We start from the raw sequence: 22,597 nt of genomic DNA on the forward strand, positions 1-22,597 counted from the left end.
GCCATTTTAAAAATTTTAATAGCTTTTGGAGTGCAAGTGGTCTTTGGTTACATGGATGAATTATATAGTGGTGAATTCTGAGATTTTAGTGCCCCCTTAATCCAAGTAGTATAGATTGTACTCAGTATATAGGATTTTTTTAATCCCTCCCCCTTCTGAGTCTCCAAAGTCCGTTATATCACTTTATATGCCTTTGTATAGTCATAACTTAGCTCCCATTTATAAGTGAGAACATATAATATTTGGTTTTCCATTCCTGAGTTACTTCACTTAGAATAATGGCCTCCTGCTACATCCAAGTTGCTGCAAAAGATGTTATTTCATTCCTTTTCACAGCTCCGTAGTATTCCATGGCATATATATACCACATTTTCTTTATCCACTCGTTGGCCAATGGACACTTAGGTTGGTCCCATATCTTTGCAATTGTGAATTGTGCTGCAGTAAACATGCGTGTACATGTGTCTTTTTCATGTAATGGCTTCTTTTTCTTTGAGTAGATACCCAGTAGTGGGACTGCAGGATCGAATGGTAGATCTACTTATAGTTCTTAAAGGAATCTCCATACTGTTTTCCATAGAGGCTGTACTAATTTACATTCCTACCAGCAGTGTATGAGTGTTCCCTTTTCACCACATCAATGCCAATGTCTATTGTTTTTTGACTTTTTAGTAATGTCATTCTTGCAGGAGTAAGGTTGTGGTTTTAATTTGCATTGTGGTTTTAATTTGCATTTCCCTGATGATTAGTGATGTAGAGCATTTTTCATATGTTTCTTGGCCATTTGTGTATCTTTTTTGAGAAATGTCTATTCATGTCATTTGCCTACTTAATTAATTAATTTATTTTGAGACAGGGTCTCCCTCCGTCACTCAGGCTGGAGTGCAGTGGTGCGATCTTGGCTCACTGCAGCCTCCGCCTCCCAGGTTCAAGTGATTCTCCTACCTCGGGATCACAGGCATGTGTCACCATGCCTGGCTGATTTCTTGTATTTTTAGTAGAGACAGGGTTTCACCATATTGGTCAGGCTGGTCTCGAACTCCCTACCTCAGGTGATCTGCCCACCTCGGCCTCCCAAAGTGCTGGGATTACAGGTGTGAGCCACTGCACCCAGCCATTTGCCCACTTTTTAATTGATTTTTTTTTTTTCTGATTTGAGTTTCTTGTGGTTTTTAGACACTAGTTCTTTGTTGGATATATAGTATGCAAATATTTTCTCCCATTATGTGCATTGTCTTTTTACTCTGATGATTATTACTTTTGCTGTGCAGAAACTTTTTAGTTTAACGAGATCCCATTTATTGATCTATTTTTGTTTTTATTGCATTCGCTTTTGGGGTCTTAGTCATGAAGTCTTTGCCTAGGCCAATGTCCAGAAGAGTTTTTCTGATGTTATCTTTAGAATTCTTATGGTTTCAGGTCTTAGATTTAAGTCGTTGACTCATCCTGAGTTTTTTTTGTATAAGATGAGAGATAGGGATCCAGTTTCATTCCTCTATGTGTGGCTAGCCAGTTTTCCCAGCACCATTTATTAAATAGGGTGCCCTTTACCCTATTTAAAAAATAAATATTTTTATATGCTTCATCAAAGATCCGTTGGTTGTAAATATTTGGCTTTATCTATGGGTTCTCTATTCTTTTCCATGGGTCTATGTGCCTACTTTTATATCAGTACCATTCTGTTTTGGTAACTATAGCCTTGTGGTACAATTTGAAGTCTGGTAATGTGATACCTCTAGATTTGTTGTTTTTGCTTAGGTTTGCTTTGGCCATTCAGGCTCTTTTTAAAAATTTCATATTAATTTTAGGATTATTTTTTCTAATTCTGTGAACAATGATGTTGTTATTTTGTTTGGGATTGCATTGAATCTGTAGATTGCTTTGGGCAGTATGGTCATTTTCACAATACTGATTCTTCTAATCCATGAGCATGGGATGTGTTTCCATTTGTTTGTGTTATCTGTGATTTCTTCCAGCAGTGTCTTGTTGTTCTCCTTGTAGAGAAATTTCACCTCCTTAGTTAAGTATATTCCTAAGTTTTTTATTTTATTTTATTTTTGCAGCTGTTGTAAAAGGGATTGAGTTATTGACTTGATTCTTAGCTTGGTTGTTGTTGGTGTATAGCAGTGCTACTGATTTGTATATACTGATTTTGTAACCTGAGACTTTAATGAATTTATTTATCAAATCTAAGAGTCTTTTGGAGGAATCTTTAGGATTTTCTAGGTATACAGTCATATCATCTGTGAACAGTGATAGTCTGACTTCCTCTTTCCCAATTTGGATGTCCTTTATTCCTTTCTCTTGCCAGATTGCTCTGGCTAGGACTTCCAGTACTATGTTTTTGTTTGTTTGTTTGTTTGTTTGTTTTTGTTTTTGAGACAGAGTCTCGCTCTGTCGCCCAGGCTGGAGTCCAGTGGCACGATCTTGGCTCACTGAAACCCCCGCCTCCCGCATTTAAGTGATTCTTGTGCCTCAGCCTCCTGAGCAGCTGGGATTACAGGCATGTACCACCACGCCTGGTTAATTTTTTTTGTATTTTTAGAAGAGACGGGGTTTTGCCATGTTGCCCAGGCTGGTCTCAAACTCCTGAGCTTAGGCAGTCCACCCGCCTCAGCCTCCCAAAGTGCTAGGATTACAGGCATGAGCCACCGCACCCAGCCCAGTGCTATGTTTAATAGAAGTAGTGAAAGTCGGCATCCTTGTCTTGTTCCAGTTCTTAGAAGGGAATGCCTTAAACTTTTCCCCATTCGGTATGATGTTGGTTATGGGTTTGTCATATATGGCTTTTATTATTTTGAGATAAGTCCTTTCTATGCCTGGTTTGTTGAGAGTTTTTTTTATCATAAAAGGATGCTGGATCTTATTGAATGCTTTTTCTGCAACTATTGAGATGATCGTATGGTTTTTGTTTTTAATTCTGTTTATGTGATATATGACATTTATTGACTTGTATATGTTAGACCATCCCTGCATCCCTGCTATGAAACCCACTTGATCATGGTGTATTACATTTTTGATGTGCTGTTGGATTTTGTTAGCTTGTATTTTGCTGAGGATTTTTGCATCTGTATTCATCAGGGACATTGGTCTGTAGTTTTCCTTATTTTTGTTATGTCCTTTCCTGGTTTTGTTATGAAAGTGATACTGGCTTCGTAGAATGATTTAGGGAGGATTTCCTCTTTCTTAATCTTTTGGAATAGTTTCAGTAGCTGGAGTGTAGTGGCGCGATCTCAGCTCACTGCAACCTCTGCCTGCTTAGGTTCAAGTGATTCTCCTGCCTCAGCTGCCTGAGTAGCTGGGACTACAGGTGCATGCCACTACGCACGGCTAATTTTTGTATTTTTTGTAGGATGGGGTTTCACCATGTTGGCTAGGCTGGTCTTGAATCCTGAACTCCTGACCTCAAGCGATCCGCCCACTTTGGCCTCCCAAAGTGTTGGGATTACAGATGCGGGCTGCCGTGTCCAGCCCCAATTCTTCTTTGAATGTCTGATAGAATTCAGCTGTGAATCCATCATGCCCTGGGCTTTTTTGTATGTGTGTGGCAATTTTAAATTTACTGATTGAATCTTGCTGCTTGTTATTGGTCTGTTAAGGGTTTCTGTTTCTTCCTGATTTAATCTAGGAGGGTTGTATGTTTCCAGGAATTTAGCAGTTTTCTTAGATTTTTCTAGTTTATGTGCGTAGAGATGTTTGTAGTAGTCACGAATAATCTTTTGTATTTCTGTGGTGTTGGTTGTAATACTTCCAGTTTCATTTCTAATTGAGCTTAGTTGAATCTTCTTTTTTTCTTGGTTAATCTAGCTAATGGTCTATCAATTTTGTTTATCTTTTCAAAGAACCAGCTTTTTATTTCATCTTTTGTATTTTTTTATGTTTCAATTTCATTTACTTCTTCTCTGATCTTTGTTATTTCTTTTCCTCTGCTAGCTTTGGGTTTGGTTTGTTATTGTTTCTGTAGTTCCTTGAGGTGTAACATTAGGTTGTCAATTTGTGATCCTTCAGACTTTTTGATGTAGGCTTTTAGTGCTATAAACTTTCCTGTTAGCACAGTATCCCAGAGTTTTGATAACTTGTGTCACTGTTATTCATTTCAAAAAATGTTTGAATTTCCATCTTGATTTTATTGTTAACCCAAAATCACTCAGGAGCAGATTGTTTAATTTTCATGTATTTGTACCATTTTGAGGGTTCCTTTTGGAGTTGATTTCTAGCTTTATTCCACTGCGGTCTGAGAAGATACTTGATACAATTTTGATTTTTTTTTTTTTTTTTTTTTGAGACGGAGTCTTGCTCTGTCACCAGTCTGGAGTGCAGTGGCACAATCTTGGCTCACTGCAACCTCTGCTTCCCAGGTTCAAGTGATTCTCCTGCCTCAGCCTCCCGAGTACCTGGGACTACAGGTGCGTGCCACCACACCCAACTAATTTTTGTATTTTTAGTAGAGACGGGGTTTCACCATGTTGGCCAGGATGGTCTTGATCTCTGACCTCATGATCCACCATCGTTGGTCTCCCAAAGTGCTGGAATTACAGGCATGAGCCACTGTGCCTGGCCACAATTTCGATATTTTAAAAATGTATTGAGACTTGTTTTGTGTCCTATCATATGGTCTATCTTGGAGAATGTTCTATGTGCTGATGAGAAGAATGTGTATTCTGCAGTTCTTGGGTAGAATGTTCTGTAAATATCTGTTAAGTCCATTTTTTCTAGAGTGTAGTTTAAGTCCATTATTTCTTTGTTGATGTTTTGTCTCAATGATCTGTCTAGCACTGTCAGTAGAGTATTAAAGTCCCTCACTCATTTCTTAGATCTAGTAGTAATTGTTTTATGAATCTGGGAGTAGTGTTAGGTACATATAAATTTAGGATTGTAATATGTTCTTGTTGGATTGATCCTTTTATCATTATGTAATGACCTTGTTTGTCTTTTTTTTTTTTTTCACTGTTGTTGCTGTACAGTCTGTCTTATCAGATATAAGAATAGTTATTCTTGTTTGCTTTTGTTTCCATTTGTGTGGAATATCTTTTTCCACCCCTTTACTTTGAGTTTATATGAATCCTTATACGTTAGGTGAGTCTCTTAAAGACAGCAGATATTTGGTTCGTATTCTGCCATTCTGCCAATCTGTATCTTTTAAGTGGAGCATTTAGGCCATTTATGTTCAACATTAATACTGAGATGTGAGGTGCTGTTCCATTTATCATGTTAATTGTTACCTAGATGCTTGGTTTTTTTCTATTGTGTTATTGTTTTATAGGCTCTGTTTTATGCTTTCAAGAGGTTCTGTTTTGGTGCATATCAAGCTTTGGTTTCAATATTTAGAACTCCTTTTAGCATTTCTTGTAGGGCTGGTCTGGTAGTGACAAGTTCCTTCACCATGTAAATGATATTCTTTAAATATTTGTTTTCCAATTGTTTGTTGCCAGTACATAGAAATATAATAGGGTTTTTTCTGTATATTGATTTTGTATCATATGACCTTATTGAACCAATTTATTATGTATATATATTTTTTGGTAGCTTTCTTAGGATCTGTTATGTATACAATCATGTTGTCTATGTCAAGACAGTCTTACTTCTTCCTTTACAGTTTATATGCTTCTTATTTCCTTTTCTTGCTTCATTGCGCTGACTGGGACTTCCAGTTCAATGTTAAAAAGAAGTAGTGAGAACTGACATCTTTGCCTTGTTCTTGATCTCGAGGGAAAAGCAGCCAGTCTTTCATCATTAAGTATGATGTTAGATGTAGGTTTTTGGTAGATGCCTTTTATCAAGTTGAAGTTCACTTTTATTCCTAGTTTGCTGAGGTTTTTATCTGTATTGGGATTAAATTTTGTCACATGCTTTTTCTGCATCTATGGAGATTATATTGTTTTCCTCTTTAATTCAGTCAATACAGTGAATTATATTTTTAAAAGAATGCTAGGCTGGACACATGGTGGCTCACACCTGTAATCCTAGCACTTTGAGAGGCTGAGGTGGGAGGATTGCCTGAGCTCAGCAGTTCGAGACCAGCCTGGGCAACATGGTAAAACCCCATCTCTGCTAAAATACAAAAAATCAGCCGGGCTTCTTGGCACACGCCTGTAGTCCCAGCTATTCAGGAGGCTGGGGCACGAGAATTGCTTGAACTAGGGAGGCGGAGGTTGCAGTAAGTCGAGATTGTGCCACTGCACTCCAGCCTGGGCAACAGAGCGAGACTCTGTCTCAAAAAAAAATAATAATAAAATAAAATAAAAGAATGCTAAATCAAACTTGCATTTGATCTTCTAATATTTTTGTTAAGGATTTTTGCATCTATGTTTATGAGGGATATTGGTCTATAGTTTTTTTTTTTGTAAATCCTTTGTCTGGTTTTTGGTGTCAACATTATGTTGACATCATAAAATAAACTGTATGTTGACTTGTATTCAATGTCCCTTTGTTTTCTTTCTTTCCTGATACAGTGTCTCACTGTGTTGCCTAGGCTGGCCTCGAACTCCTGGGGTCAAGTGATCTCCTGTCTCAGCCTCCAGAGTAACGAGGACTACAGATGTGTGCTACCATATACCATGCTCAGCTTCTCTGTTTTCTGAAAGAGTCTGTGGGACACTAATGTTTTCTCTTTATTAAATATTTCATAGACTTCATCAGTAGAGCATTATATAAAGCCAAGAAGTTTTTTTGGGGGGGGTTAATTATTAATTATATAACAGATATAGGGTAGTCAGAATTTTTTGCGGCATTTTTCTCAATATGTATTTCAAGAAATTTGTCTATTTCATCTAAGTTGTAAAATTTATTGGTCTAAAATTGTTCCTAAGATTCTCATTCTTTTTTCTTTCTTTCTTTTTTTTTTTTTTTTTATGTGTGTGTGTGAGACAGAGTCTCACTCTGTCTTCAAGGCTGGAGTGCAATGGTGCGATCTCAGCTCACTGCAATCTCTGCCTCCCGAGTTCAAGTGATTCTCCTGCCTCAGCCTCCCAAGTAGCTGGGATTACAGGCATGTGCCACCACGCCTGGCTAATTTTGTATTTTTTGTAGAGACAGGGTTTCACCATGTTGGTCAGGCTGGTCTCAAACTCCTGACCTCATGTGATCCACCCACCTCGGCCTCCCAAAGTGCCAGGATGATAGGTATGAGCCACTATACCCCACCTCATTTTCTTTTTAATGTTTGTGAGATCTCTGGTGGTATTCCTTCTTTAATTCCTGTTATGGCAATTGCTTTTTCTGTTTCCTCTTAAAAATAATTTAGCTCGGCTACTGGGGGAACCCACCCCCAATATTTCAATGTAGGTTCTTTCCATTTTCCGTAAGTGTCAGCTGGCTGAGAAATAAAAGAGTACCAAGAGAGGAATTTTACAGCCGGGCCTCCGGGGTGACATCACATATCGGTAGGACCGTGATGCCCACCTGAGCCACAAGACCAGCAAGTTGTTATTAAGGATTCTAAAAGGGTAGGGGGTGTACGAACAGGGAGTAGGTCACAAAGATCACATGCTTCAAAGGGCAAAAGGGAGAACAAAGATCACATGCTTCTGAGGAAACAGGACAAGGGCAAAATCAGAACTACTGATAAGGGTTTATGTTCAGCTGTGCACGTATTGTCTTGATAAACATCTTAAACAACAGAAAACAGGGTTCAAAAGCAGAGAACCGGTCTGACCACAAATTTACCAGGGCAGAGTTTTTTCCCCACCCTAATAAGCCTGAAGGTACTGCAGGAGACCAGGCCGTGTTTCAGTCCTTATCTCAGCCACATAAGATAGACACTCCCAGAGCGGCCGTTTATAGACCTCCCCCCAGGAATACATTCCTTCCCCAGGGTATTAATTATTAATATTCCTTGCTAGGAAAAGAATTTAGCGATATCTTCCCTACTTGCACGTCTGTTTATAGGCTCTCTGCAAGAAGAAAAATATGGCTCTATTTTGCCCAACCCTGCAGGCAGTCAGACCTTATGGTTGTCTTCCCTTGTTCCCTGAAAATTGCTGTTACTCTGTTCTTTTTCAAGGTACACTGATTTCATATTGTTCAAACACACATGTGTTACAATCAATTTGTACAGTTAAGACAATTATCACAGTGGTCCTGAGGTGACGTACATCCTCAGCCTATGAAGATAACGGGATTAAGAGATTAAAGTAAGACAGGCATAAGAAATTATAAAAGTATTATTTGGGAACTGATAAATGTCCATGAAATCTTCACAATTTATGTTCCTCTGCTGTGGCTCCAGCTGGTCCCTCCGTTCAGGATCCCTGACTTCCCACAACACTCGGCCAGGCATGGTGGCTCATGCCTGTAATCCCAGTACTTTGGGAGGCCGAGGCAGGTGGATCACTTGGGGTCAGGACTTTGAGACCAGCCTGGCCAGCATAGTGAAACCCCATCTCTACTAAAAATACAAAAATTTGCCGGGCATGGTGGCATGTGCCTGTAATCCCAGCTACTTGGCCGGCTGAGGCAGGAGAATCACCTGAACCAGGGAGATGAAGGTTGCAGTGAGCTGAGATCGCGCCACTGCACTCCAGCCTGGGCAACAGAGCAAACTCTGTCTCAAAAAAAAAAATTAAATTAAAAAATAATTTAGGTCATACTTTATCAGTTTTGTTAATCTTTTCTAAGAATCAACTTTTAGTCTTCTTAAAAATATCCATTTAAAAATTTTATTAATTTTCAGTCTTTATTTCCTTCCTTCTGCCTATGTTGAGCTTAATTCACTTTGTTTTTTCTAACTTAAGATAGGGACTCTTTGATTTGGGATTTAATTTTCCAGATATCTTTTAATTATTGATTTCTAATTTAAGTCCCTTATGTTCAAAGAACATACTCTAATTTGAAGCCTTTGAAACATGAGACCTGTTTTATGGCCAGCTATATGGTCTATATTGGCAAATGTTCCATGTACATTGAATTAAGAAATGTGTATTGTATGGTTGTTGGGTGGAATGTTCAATAACTGTCACTTAGGTCAGATAGGTTGATAGTGTTCAAAACTATGTATTTTTTTTTTTTGGTCTACTTTTAAAATCTTTTATGGAGAAAAAAATATTGCTTTCCAACTCTAATTATGGATTTGTTCCATGATTCCCTTTCATTCTGTCAGGTTTTGCTTCGTATTTTTTATATTTATGTTATTAGATATGTACACATTTAGGATTATTCTTAAAGAATTGGCCCTTTTTAACATTATACATGTATTTCTTCATTTCTGATAATTCTCTTTGTTTGCAGTATATTTTACCTGATTGATATAGCCTCTTCAGCTTTCATATGATTAGTGTTTGTATGGTAGAACTTTTTCCATCCTTTTTTTTTTTAACCCATTTGTATCTTTGTATTTAAAATGTACCTCTTATAAAGAACACATAATTGGGTCTGGCTTTTTGAATCTAGTCTGACAGTCTGCTTTTGAATTAGTGTTTATTCCATTTATATTTAATGTATTATTTATATAACTGGATCTAAATCTGTTGTATAGCATTTTTTATTAGTCTCATATCCTTTGTTTCGTTTTTCCTTTTCATGCCTTCTTTTGAATTAATCAAGTATTTCAGATTCTATTTTTATGTCATCCGTTATACGCATACACACACAGAGAAACATACTTTAAGTTATTGTTTTGATGATTAGAATTTTCATCCTTATCACAATCTACACTGAAATAATACATCATTTCATGTATAATGTAAGCCCTTTCAACAATATACTTCCATTTATCTTCTCCCAGTCTTCATTCTGTTGCTGTCATGTGTTTTACTGCTATGTATGTTATAAACCTCACAATACATTGGTATTATTTTTGCTTTAAACAGTCAGTTGTCTTAAATAAATTAATAACTTAGATTCCTTTTATTTACCCATATACTGACCATTTCCAATATTCTTCATTTCTTCTTATATGTCTGATATCCATCTGGTATTGTTTCCCTTCAGCATGAAAAATCCTTCTTAACATTTTTTTTGTAGTGTAGATCTGCTGGTGACAAATCCTTGCAGCTTTTGTTTTATCAGAAAGCATCTCTATTTTGCCTTTATTTCAAAAGGGTATTTTTGCTGGATATACAATATTAGGTTGACTCTTTCTTTACGCCAAAGATGTCATTCCATTGTCTTGTAGCCTGAATTCTTTCTGATGAGAAGTTACAGGATATTCCCCTGCATGTGCTGGTTTCTCCTTCCCTTTGGATGCTATAAGATTTTCAGTTTATCTTTGTTTTCAGCAATTTGACTATTGTAGTTAGGTGTGATTGTCGTTGTTGATCTTTCTTGGGGTTTCTTGAGCTTATTTTGTCTGTGGATTGATATTTTTTCATCAGTTTGGAAAAAGTTTGGCCCATATTTCTTCTCAGCCCATCTCCTTTTCTTTTATAACTCCAGTTACATATAAGTTAGATTGCTTGATATCATCCTAGAGGTCACTGAGGCTCTGCTCATTTTTTTTCTTTGGTCTTCCTTTCTCTCTGTACTTCTGTGAGGATAATTTATAGTAACCTATCTTTAAGTTCACTGAACGCTTCTGTAATGTACAATATGTTGTAAGCTCACCCAATGACTTTTTTATTTCAGGCAGTTTTTACTTTTAGAATTTCCATTTGGACTTTCTAATGGTTTTTGTTTCTCTGAGATTTCCCATCTGTTCACTGATTGTTTCCATATTTTCCTTAAATCCTAAAGCATATTTATAATAGCTTTTTAAAAAAGTTTTTGTTTGCTATTTCCAACATCTTTGTCATCATTTGGCCTGTTTATATTGACTGACTTATCTGCTGAGTATGGGTCACAGCTTCCTACATCTTAACGTGTTTAGACACTTTTTATTCTATGCTACACATTGTGGATGCTACTTTTTTGAGATTCTAGGTTCATCTGCTTTGAAACAGTTTTTCTCCCCTCTTTTTGTTGGGCTGTCAGCTGTTACTTCTTGTAGCTGTCAGAATACTTGCCTCTGGCTACTATATTCTCCACCCTTCCTTTGTTATTTTCTAACCTGCGGTTGGCTAGGAAACTATTTAATCTAGCTTGTTGGCCTTATATGTAAAGTACAAATAAACAGACATTGAGTAGATCTCTAAAGACTCCTGAATCAAATGCATGAACTTCAGTGTACAGGTTTTTGCATAATTTAGATATTTAAAGATTCTTACTTATTTTTTTGTAATTGGCATTGGATGAGTGAAATATAATTTTGTGTTGAAACTATGACCTGAAGAGAGACAACAGTTCTCCAAAGGGCTCCTAATTTCTGGCTGATGTCATCTCAAGTTATTTGTGTATTTTTTGCTCATCTGCTTTTAGCTGTTAGAAGAAAATGTTTGTTGATATTTGTCGTGTTCTAGTAGCCTCTATCAGTTTGAATTTCAGTATATTATAACCTGTCAAATATTTTCTCTGGGCTTTTTACCTTAAGCCTAATGACTGCTTTTTAAAACTTAGTTTGTAAATTCTCACATTAAAACAGTTTTTAAAAAGAGAATCGTTCACATAAGCCAAATTGCTGAATTACTAATCAGAGGGATGCTAAGTAGCTGAAGGAGTTTCCAAGGCACCATCTGTGAGGTCTGATCTCTTGTCTCTCCTCATTCAGAAAATTTCAATGTGAAGTAAATATCATATTTTATTGCAAAGGCTGCCTTTAATTTCATTTGTCTGATTTGGGATGGGTGAAGGTGTTGAATAAAAGTTTTAAGTCTCTTACTTAAGATCCCTCTCCCCCATCCTCATTCTTGGAATGAACTTTTGAGAGGTTAAACCTATACTTTGCCAAGTAAATGCTGATTTCCTGGGAAGACATTTCAGCACCTTTTCTGTTTTTCTGCACTTCCTTGACCTAAATTAGCAAATCTTCCTCCTTTCCAAGTCTCCCAGAAGCCATTCTCCATGTCTGTCACATACCTTACAGAGCTCTGGAGTAGTCTTGTTTTTTAATTATAAGAATCAATAAGAAAAAGAAGACTTTAGTTTCTTCCTTTCAGAACTGGACCTTAGAGAACAGCCTATAAAATAGAATCAATTTTGCTACTTCAGATTATAAGGAAACCCTTTGTAGAGAAAGGTTCATGTTTTGGCAGAATAATAGCTCAGTCTAGAGACTTCTCTAGCAGTTTCAGATACTGGCATTTTTGTGTGTATAATTAAGTGAGGGGTAGAGACCCCACACTAATGTACACTCAGAGGCGGTATTGTGTAATAACTTCCCTATAATCATGCTAGGATATCTATGCCTGATTGTTGATCCTTGAGTAACTAAAAATGGTGCCAGAAAGGTATCAATCCAGATCGAGCCAAGGGAGACCAACATTAGACATTTCTGTGATTAGGCACTGGAGTAGATTATAGCATGATAAGGTTCTCTGTGCTCTGAGTGAAGTGCTGTTCAACTTGGCGCTAATAGGAGCGGGATTCAGGTTTGTGAGCTCTGGAACTCGAAGTCGACTTGCCTGTTAGAGAAGGGGGTTTTGGATTCTGTATAGCCTGTAGTCTTTTAAATGTAAGAATCCTCAGGGAGTCTGCTTTGAAGGGTAGTCGGGGCTAGGCTGGAACAATGCTTCCTGGACAGATCAGGTCAAAAATTCCCAGTGCGCGGGGTATTCTTAGAGCCCACACATCCTCTTAAGAGTTTAGCTGATCCAGCCAACAGCCTTGCGGCATACAGAGCATGGGCTGTCATCCTGTTTTATGGCTGAGAGGCTGAAGACCCTGAAAAGGGATGTGACCAACCCCAGGTCCCACCAGTTTAAATTGTGATGCCTAGACTTAAACCTCCCCTCCCCACTCCAAGGGTGATGTTCTTTCTGTGACATCATTTGAAGGCTAGTGGGTGATAACTTAGAGGAAGAGTTTTCACTTTGGAATGGAAGAGCGTAGAAACTGTCATAGCCTGGATAGGCATGTAAAAGAACCGGTCTTGTGAATCTTTAGACCAGGGTATCTACCCTTTATTGCAGTCCGGAATTATCTGGGGCATTTTAGTAAATACTGATGCCTGAGTTCCTCCAATTAAATCACAGATGCAAATTTAATTGGTCTTGGGTGTAGCCTGAGCACAGGGATTGAAAAATCTTTAGAATGAACCTATGGCAATTTTGTCTTAGCCTCGACTTATCTCTTTTCTGGCTGTAGTTCCCTTTGACCCACTTATGGAAGAGGTTGGAAATTTTCTGTATTTATTAAGACCTGCACCGAAATTGAGTGAGAAAAAAGCTGGAGACAAGAGTCAAAACTGAGTTTTCCAGAGTTAAGAGCAGACACTGTTTACATGATACGGATAAGCCATGAATTTATTAAAACTTTAAGAGAAATATTGAAAACACCTACCATCTATTGAGTCTCAGTTGCAAGAGCTGAAGGAAAGACAAAGACGAGTCTCTGGCTTTAAGGAATTTTATTGTGTAATCTTGGCATGTACTGGAATCACTTCTAACCACATACAGATGCATGGATGTAGGGAAATATTACTTGGCTGCATCAATATTTGCCTGTCCCACCTAAATCTTTTTTGAGGAAGTAGCCAGGACATAAACAGCTGAAATGAAAATATTTGCTTGTCCCGAAGTCGATTTCCCCACAGGCCATCGCCCTCCCTCCTGTGGCTGCCTCTGCTATTCTCATTAGCTAAGCAGCCTTGCCCTTACAGAGATCCTGAGGGCCTTACAGAGATCCTGAGGGCAACAAAGCCGGTGGTCATCTGTAAAATCCAGTAACTGATTGATGCTCAGGAAATAGGAGATACTGAAGAAGTGAAAGAGCCTAACCCAGTCCCAGGTGGTTCCGACTCTGCAGCCGTGCTCTGCTGTTTCATCTCAGCCATGCCAGGTGCTAGACGTGACTTCACCTGAGAATTGCTGACCTGGGTTGATCAGATCAAATCTATCCAGGCCACCTCTGGCAGAGCAGCAGAAAGTGAGAATATGCTGTAGATTAGTGTGAGAATCCTCCCCAGGGCTTAATGATGGTCCCTTGGAGAGCTCTGTTTCTATGCAAGAAACCTGTGAATTCTCAACCTTTGCCAACTTGCAATCGTTCTTCAATCTGCCCCAACTATTTCTAGCAAATTCTTTGGCTAATACAGCATAGAAAACACATCCTATTTGTCCCAGACTTATTTCATTCCAGCTTCAAGGGGTGGACATTTAGCCTAAGAGCATTCATAGAGAGTCAGACTTCAGAGAATATATTTCCCTCTGTTAAATCGTATATGAAACCAAGCTTGCTCCGAGGCCGCTGGCTGCAGGAAGCAGTGACGAGGATGGAGCTTGGCAGATGGTTGTAGCTGTGGTTTCCTGGAGGCCTGTGTGGGGAGATGATTGTTTGTATATTGGTTTTCATTTATGTATTGGTCTTATTTTCATCTTCCTGAGGTACCCAGATGCTATGGTGATAGATTGATTGGAAATGACTCATTTGTCAGGGTTCTGTGGGGGACGTAGGTTCCCTTCTCATGCGCAGCAGAGTCTAAGATGTTTAATTAGACGCTGAGACATTTCTGCATGGGTCCATTTCTGCCCATTCTCCCAGGTGGACGCCATTTCTTAGATTGCAGAGGGACGGGGTTGGGGAGGGACCTTCTAGTTCTCCATCCTCTCCCTCTATCCTCTTATTTTGTCTGGCTGCAGTCCTTAGTCCTACCTCCCTTTTAATTAATTAATTAATTAATTAATTTATTTACTTACCTTTGAAACAGAGTTTCATTCTTGTCACCCAGGCTGGAGTTCAATAGCACGATCTCTGCTCACTGCAACCTCTGCCTCCTGGTTTTAAGCGATTCTCCAGCCTCAGCCTCCTGAGTAGCTGGGACTACAGGCACCCGCCACCACGCCTGGCTAATTTTTTTTTTTTTTTTTTTTTGTATTTTTAGTAGAGATGGGATTTCACTGTGTTGGCCAGGCTGGTCACGAACTCCTGATCTCAGATAATCCACCTGTCTCGGCCTCCCCAAGTGTTGGGATTACAGGCCTGACCCACCACGCCTGGCCTTTTATATATATATATTTATTATTATTATTATTATTATTATTATTTGCCTCAGCTTCCCGAGTAGCTGGGATTACAGACACCCGCCACCCCACCCAGCTAATTTTTTTGTATTTTTAGTAGATACGGGGTTTCTCCATGTTGGCCAGGCTGGTCTCGAACTCCTGAGCTCAAGTGATCCACCCGCCTCTGCCTCTCAGAGTGCTGGGATTACAGGCATAAGCCACCGTGCCCAGCCCTACCTCCTTTTATCTGCTGTTTTCTACCCCCTAACATTATTGTCCTAAAAATTGCCTTCATGTGGCTGCTAGAATTTGCAGAACTGATTCATGTTGGAAATCTAGTTGTCAAACAGGTCCAAACCAGACTTCATGAAATAATGTAGTTGAACTGATACGCAGTGAGAGGAATATTAAGTGCTGCTTAACTGTTTTGTTCCACTTCAGCTTTTTCAGGGCCTTACTTTGTTCTTACTGTGTGCCAGGCAATGCCTGACATGCTGAGGATGGAAAGGTCTTACGGGTGCACCATGGTAACACCATGGAGATGCTAGATAAAGGTGTGAGCAAAGGGCTGCGGAGTCACCTGAAGATGACGTGAGCCATGGGCGTGGGGGAAAGAATGGCATTTCAGGAGAATGTGGGCAATCCTGGGGGTAGTGGGTTTGCAAACTAGCAGAAAGCTCCGTGTACTGAGTCGTGGGAGGTGTTGTGCATGTGGATATAGGTGCAGCTTGGAAAGGTCAAGGCTTCTACCTGGGACACAAGGTGACATAAAGAAGTGGGAGACTGTGAGACATCTTGGAAGGGGGAGAGGAGTTTAATGCTAGGCGTGATAAAAATGAGATGCTTGTGAAATCTAGGTGGACACATCTAATGGGTTGTTGGAAATATGGGCTTAGGACTGATTGGGGTAATGGTACCAGAGACATATATATATATATATATATATTTTTTTTTTTTTTTTTTTTTTTTTGAGACAAGGTCTCACCCTGTCACCCAGGCTGGAGTACAGTGGTGCGATCTGGGCTCACTGTAGCGTCCGTCTCCCGGGTTCAAGCAATTCTCCAGCCTCAGCCTCTCTGGTACTACAGGAGCGTGCCACCAACACCCAGCTAATTGTTTTGCGTTTTTGTGGAGATGGGGTTTTGCCATGTGACCCAGCCTGGTTTTGAACTCTTGGGCTCAAAGCGATCCTCCTGCCTCAGCCTCCCAAAGTGCTGGGATTACAGGCATGCGCCACCACGCCCGGCCGAGAGATGTAGATTTAGAGGTCCTAGTTTAGCGAGTCAGGGCTTGAAGGCTTGAGCACAGAGCCATTTGAGGAAAACCTGGATGGAAAGGGAGAGGGCTCAGAGCCTTTGGGAACACCAGTGTTTTAAAGAACAACCAGAGGTTGGGGGAGAAGGTTGAGTCAGGTAGCAGAAAGACCAAGTGCCACATCCAGCCTGCTTTTCCCTTTACTAGCTGATTCTGCCAAACCTGACTGCCTGCTGACCCTGGTGAGCATGCCTCAGCCACTGGGGGGCTTTCCTGCAGTTTCCCCTTGTCCTCTCCCCTCGCCTGGTGTGCTGAGGGCGTCTTCACTGGCTGCAGGCTCCTGGGCTTTGTTCCCTTGCTGGCATCAAGGATTGGAAAGCCTCTTTCTCCCCCATCTTCTGACGTTGGTCAAGGCTCACCATTCCACCTCTGCCAAGGAGCTCCAGGCGCTCTGAGCTGTCTGCTTTCTGGCTTCCCACTGAGAGTGCAAGAGCTCACCTGAGGACTGTCCTGTGCCTCTTCTCTTGGGCTGTGCTGCAGGAACCCAGGCTTGTAGCTCATTCCTTATCCCAGCAGAATGCCCAGAGTGGTTCCTCCATCGCCTTTCTGGAAACAGGATGCATCTCTGGCCTGGCCACACACTGAAGATTCACAGGCTAGCTCCTTCATCAGGAAAGAAGTTCATCTTCATTGCTCTCGAGGAAAGGAAGAAATTGCAGAGTGGTGAAGATGTATTTTGTCTTTACTCAGTGACCACAAGCACACAGGGGCCAAATAGATAACACCATGTTCCTCTCAGTTTCTGCCTGGAATCCTCGACTTGAACGGTAGCATTCACTTGAAACCAAGCCCCGACCATTGAAGGGAGAGTCATTTGGCAAAGTTCCTGCTGAAACTGCCATCCACTTATGTCTAAGTGGCATTCTGGCTCCAGCCATCCTTCCAGATTTCCCCGATATCTGAGCCCTCACTGCTGCCACCAGAGCCGCCCTGCTTCTTGGCCCTGCCTGGGTTTGAAGACAGCTCCTCAGCTGGGCTGCATGTCTAAGGAGGTCTTGAAGGCTCGATGCCACAGCAGTCCCTGTCTCTGGCAACAAGTAGCCTTGGCTTTTGCTGTCTTGCCCAAATCACTCTGAGCTTTCTTCAGTGGTGTGAGCATCTTGAAGAATGAATGTTGAGGTCTGCCTATCCCCCAGGGTAGCAGGTGAGATGGGGCCGGTGCATGTCTATTCCAGTTCACTGTTGCAGAACTGAGAAATGTGCGGGGACTTTCTCCTCTGTGTTCGCTGCGTTTTCAGCAGCCAGTGCTGGGCACTTAGCCTTCTTGCATAGGTGCGGAAAGCTAACCGGAGTTCCTGTTCCTTCCTCCGTGCTGGTCCCCGCAGGGCTTGTGGTGGAGGACCCTGTGGCCATCTCACCAACTACACCGAAACGCATCTGACTTCTGACGCCACGCCCGTGTGCGGTGCAGCCTCCCTGCTGGGCCCAGGCCTGGCCGCTTGGAGATGGTGCCCTCATCGTCCTGGGCCTTCCAGGCTGCAGAGGGTGCGGGGAGCACTGAGGAACTGCATAGATGGCTGTGGGAGGTGGTGGCTTTTAAAAAATTGTGGTAAAATACATATAACATAAAAATATATGTTAGCCATTTTAAAATGTACAACTCAATGGCACTAGGTATAATACATTCACAGTGTTACGTGACCATCACCACTGCCTAGTTTCACAACTCTGTCTCCCCAAATGGAAAACCATACCCATTAGGCAGTCACTCCAGACCCACTACCCCCAGCCCAGTCCCTGGCAGCCACGAATCTGCTTTCTGCCTCTGAATTTTTCTATTCTGGATTCTTTATATAAATGGAACCATAGAATATGAGGTCTTATGACAGTTTTGAAGTTCACTGTGTTGTAGTGTGTGCGAGAGTTTCTTTTGATGGCCGGATAAAATCCCATTGTATGGGTAGACCGCATTTTCTTTCTCCATTCTTCTGTTGATGGACATTTGGATTGTTTCCACCTTTGGGCTGTGATAAATAATGCTGCTGTGGACATTTGTGTACATGGTTTTGGGTGGACATGTTTTCAGTTCTTTAGGGCATATACCTGGGAGTGGGATTGCTGGGTCATATGGTGACTCTGTTCAACTTGGTGGGGAACGGTCAGACTGTTTCTCCCAGTGGCTGCACCGCTTTACACTCTCAATAGCAGTGTATGAGGGGAGGTGGTGACTTTGGAAGCTGAGAGTGCCAGCCCCTCTCTAGCATAAACCAGAATTACCTGGAGTGACCCTCAGTGGAGGGTTGCTGGGACCAGTGGCATAAGGAGTGAGCAGGGAGGGCACGTGGGGCCTGGGGAAGTCAGGTGGCATTCACAAGTGCAGCTGGGTAGGCCAGGGTCTGGTCCTCAGGGGTGGCTGAGCCCTCTCCAGTTTTTTGGGAGCATGTGGTGGGAAGCCAGGGGACTAGGGTGGTGAAAGGCTGCATGGGAGCTTGGGAGGGCTGTTCCAGGTGGTGCCTGTGGTGCAAGGTGTTTGACCCTAGGGCTGGGATAATGGCAGAGTGTGGGCTCGCCCAGGGAAGACAGGTTACGAGTCCAAAGGAAGAGGTGGGTCCAAGCCCAGCCCACAGATTAGGCTGATATGTGATGGCGCTGGGGGTGCTTCACTGGGCTCCAGTATGGAGGTACCTCGTCTTAACTCCAAGCAATGCCCCTCTCCTGAGGCCAAGGCAACTGTGATTGATTCTTACCTGGGGGTTAGGTTCTGAATCAAGCACACATGGTCAAAACTACCCTCGAAAATCTCTGGCCAGGACCCAGTCCCTTGGAAGCTCAAGAGCCAAGATTTGGCTGCTTTTATTTGCTCCCAGTGGTAGCTTCTCTCTCTTCAGGGCAGAAAAGGCCAAGGTCTGGTTTGGGTGGGGAAGAGCGATGGGGGAATAGAAATTGGGATGAGGGGTACAGACAGATGGAATGGGATATGTGTGAGTTGAATGCATGTGGGTTGTGAGTCCCCAGGCTCTCTTGGCTGCTGGCTAATGGCTTAGGACCTAGGGTAGGATAGGGGTCTGAGAGGACCAGAAAGGCTGACGTTAAAGCCTCTGGGGTGCTGGGCAGGTGCTGCAGGGCTATCCTCCCACCCCTTGCTGGAAAGACCTGGAGCCAGGCCACCATGAGCCCACAGCAGCCCCAATCAGCACAAGTAGTGTCGGCTGGGCACTTGTCGCTGTGCCCAAGCTCTGGGAGCCCCGCCTGCATCTGGCAGAGGCTTCCTTTGGGGCATGTGGGCCAAGTCAGTGCCATCTTATAAGCAGCATTAGGGTTTAGCAGTGCTACCATCTCCTGGTGACGCTTCTACAGTCACTGCCTCCTGGAAGCATCTGCTCATCAGGGAGCATATTCCCAGTTGACAGATTGAGCTTTAGAAAAGGAGTGGCTTTAAGTTCCATGATTAGGAAGAGCCAGAACTAGAACACACATCTGAGGCTTCTGGCTCTAGATTCAGCATTCTTTTTGTTGTGTTGCACTTCTTGCAGAAGCCGTCTGATATTGGTGCTAATCTTTTCCCACCCTCTCTTTGTTAGAGCAGATGATGGTCTTGGGGTCATAAGTTGCCAAGAACCTGGAGGAGGAGGAGGAGGGTGACACCTGATTCTTATGTAGGGTGCTTTCTCCTCCCCAGGCTCTGGTCACATATGAAATGGATCTATTTTACCCAGCTCTGTCAAGGCCATCTTGACCTCTGGCTCTGCCCCATCTGTCCCTGCCCTTTACTGGGCAGCAGCCTCCCCAAGAGACAAGCCCTCACCTGGAGTTGGCAGAAATCTTTGAGTGGAGCCTCAATTCTGATGAGACACAATTAGCATCCTCTGCTCTGGCCCTGGCTTTCAGCAAATGGTAAACTCTACTTGAGGGCATAATTCAATTATGAAAATCTATTTCTCTTACACATTCAAAAAATCTCCTCATGTGCCTTTGTGCACACACAAATTTAGTGAGACATCACCAAATGTGTATGTGGTTGCCATGGAAATGTCTTCTAACGTGGCATTCCAAGAGCAAAGAGAAGGGAAGTTTTCTTTGAAAAGAAAAGCAGAGCAGAACTTGGCTAATAGTCATCACACTAATCCCCAAACTGTCATTCTTCCCTGACTACCTGTCTTCTACTTCCTGTCAGCAACTGAACAGGGGAAGGCAAATCAGTGTGCAGGACTGGGTCTCTCACATTTCCTTAGGAATTTCACAAGCATTGTTCTTAACACTTATGTCAAGCACGTACCAGGAAGGACACCAGGTCTTCTTGATTTGAGTTTGCACCTAGAAGCTTAGAAGGTACCTTCCTGGACTGTCTAGCACTTGCCACGCATGAGTACTCAGAAGAACTCCTGGCACCATTTCTCTGTGGCAAGTGCAGGCTGAATAGGGCTTCTGAAGAGGCTTTGTGTTTCCCACCAGAGCTTTTGTCTTTGTGACAAGGGCATGATGTGACAGCATATAGAGCATGCCAATACGAAGTCACTTTTTGAGTGTCGGAAATCCCAAATGTTTCTTAGTGGTGGTGTGAGTCCACAGTGTGGGACCTAAGGCTGGTTGGATGCCTCTGGTCTTCCCGGCTCAGGCTCAGGTTGATCCTCACCCTCACTCTTGTTTTCACTTGTCCTCTTGACTTTCTTAACTGAGCCTTTCTGTGGGCAATGAGGTCCTCATATTTCTGGACTTTACCAGCAGTCTCTGAGGGGATCCTTTGTCCATATTAGCGGACCCTTTGACTGGGTCACTGGGCTGCCTTTCCCCAGTTTTGGGGCTGGGTAGCAGTCCTTTTTCTTTTTTGGAGATAGGGTCTCACTCTGTCGCCCAGGCTGGAGTACAGTGGCGCAATCTCAGTTCCCTGCAACCTGCCCCTCCCGGGTTCAAGCAATTCCCCTGCCTCAGCTTCTCGAGTAGCTGGGATTACAGGTGTGTGCCACCATGCCTGGCTAATTTTTGTATTTTTAATAGAGACAGGGTTTCACCATGTTGGCTAGGCTGGTCTGGAACTCCTGGCCTCAAGTGATCCGTCTGTCTCAGCCTCCCAAAAGTGCTGGGATACAGGAGTGAGCCACCGTGCCCGGCCTGGCCTTGTTGCTTTTAGTATTGAAAACTCTAGGATGCTCCATCTTGTCTGTGGTTGTACTGGCTCCCGAGAAGACCTTTAGCCACTGGCCTGGCTGAGTTGCCAAAGTTGGGGGAGGGGGCAGTGCACAGACCCAGTTTCTGACACTCAAAGCAGGGGCTATAAATTCTGTACACTCCCATGTCCACAGCTCTGCACCACTGACTGGGGCGTGTGGGTCTCCACTTACTGTGGGTCAAGCAGCAGGTCATTTCTGCCAAAAGACAATGTCCTTCTTGCTTTTATAAATCAGGTCCTTAACATTGTTTCTTACCCAGTGTTTATTTCTCTGGCTCTAAAGGGATTAATCGAGGCATCTGGCTCATGGCTGGGCTGTGACCTTAATGAATGTGTGTAAATTTGACCAAGAGCTGAGGAAATCGTACCAGCAACTCCGTAGGGGTTCAGAGCCTTTTATTACCAAATACAGTGTCCAGTGTTTGCTCTTCTGAGGCTGCTGCAGGTGGCCACTGCTCCAGTCTACTTCCACGTAACTCTTGCTTCTGAGGTTGTTCTGAGGTTATTTGGGGTCCTGTTTGGGGAGCTCACGACCCCCCGCAGAGAGAGCAGGTCCAGGTATGGCCTGCTTGACTCTGTGGCCTCTCCATGGCCTAACCAAATCTCTCCAGCAAGGGACAGGGCTTTTAACAATAGTAAATTCTCTTTGGGATAATAGAGAACTTGCTTTGACATAGTGTGTTCTCATTCTTTCTTTCTGCTGTTTTAGACACCGATAAATCTACCAAACTTGGATGTATAAATGGCTATTAGGAGAGCTGGCTGCCCACTTTCACTCTTGGCTTGTGCAAGTAAATATCAATTTAGTCCTTACAGAAGGAGAATAAAGGAGACTTGGTTGTCTCCCTAATCCACAAACCCTGTAATTCTCACCTGGAAAATCTAGCTCTCCTATTTCAAATCAGTTTTAATAGCAAAGGCTAAAGGGAGGCTTTATTGCTCTTATCCAGGCTTATTTTTAAACTTTTTTTTTTACTTATTCATTCAGTAAGTAAGAACTCCTCCAAGGAGACCTGGAGGGGGTTGGCTTAGGAGAAGGGGAGAAGGTGAGTAAGTGGAAGCTTGGTAGGAGAGATTGCCACTGGGTGAACACTCACAATAGGGGCCGCTCACCAACTGAACAGGTGTTCTGGAAATCAGCAGATCCTGAGGACCCGGGACGGCTACTGCAATTCTAGAGCACCAGTGGGGAATCCTCTGCCACACT

At 42.3% G+C, this 22,597-nt stretch overlaps 1 protein-coding gene across 5 annotated transcripts in view, besides 3 other annotated features; it reads left to right on the plus strand.

Moving 5' to 3' along the window:
- MAN1C1 (mannosidase alpha class 1C member 1) overlaps window positions 1–22,597 on the plus strand; it is a 167,660-nt gene that overhangs the window by 11,814 nt on the left and 133,249 nt on the right. The gene's annotated exons all lie outside the window — the stretch shown is intronic.
- Window positions 7,600–7,800: a silencer, noted in NCBI's record as "peak129 fragment used in MPRA reporter construct". NCBI's record gives its function as "represses an SCP1 promoter by STARR-seq MPRAs in K562 erythroleukemia cells {active_cell/tissue: K562}" and the evidence as "EXISTENCE:reporter gene assay evidence [ECO:0000049][PMID:32103011]".
- Window positions 14,356–14,405: an enhancer, noted in NCBI's record as "active region_462". NCBI's record gives its function as "activates an Ori minimal core promoter by ATAC-STARR-seq in GM12878 lymphoblastoid cells {active_cell/tissue: GM12878}" and the evidence as "EXISTENCE:reporter gene assay evidence [ECO:0000049][PMID:35858748]".
- Window positions 16,900–17,100: a silencer, noted in NCBI's record as "peak130 fragment used in MPRA reporter construct". NCBI's record gives its function as "represses an SCP1 promoter by STARR-seq MPRAs in K562 erythroleukemia cells {active_cell/tissue: K562}" and the evidence as "EXISTENCE:reporter gene assay evidence [ECO:0000049][PMID:32103011]".

This window comes from Homo sapiens, chromosome 1 (assembly GCF_000001405.40).
Source record: "Homo sapiens chromosome 1, GRCh38.p14 Primary Assembly".
NCBI classification, from domain to species: domain Eukaryota; kingdom Metazoa; phylum Chordata; class Mammalia; order Primates; family Hominidae; genus Homo; species Homo sapiens.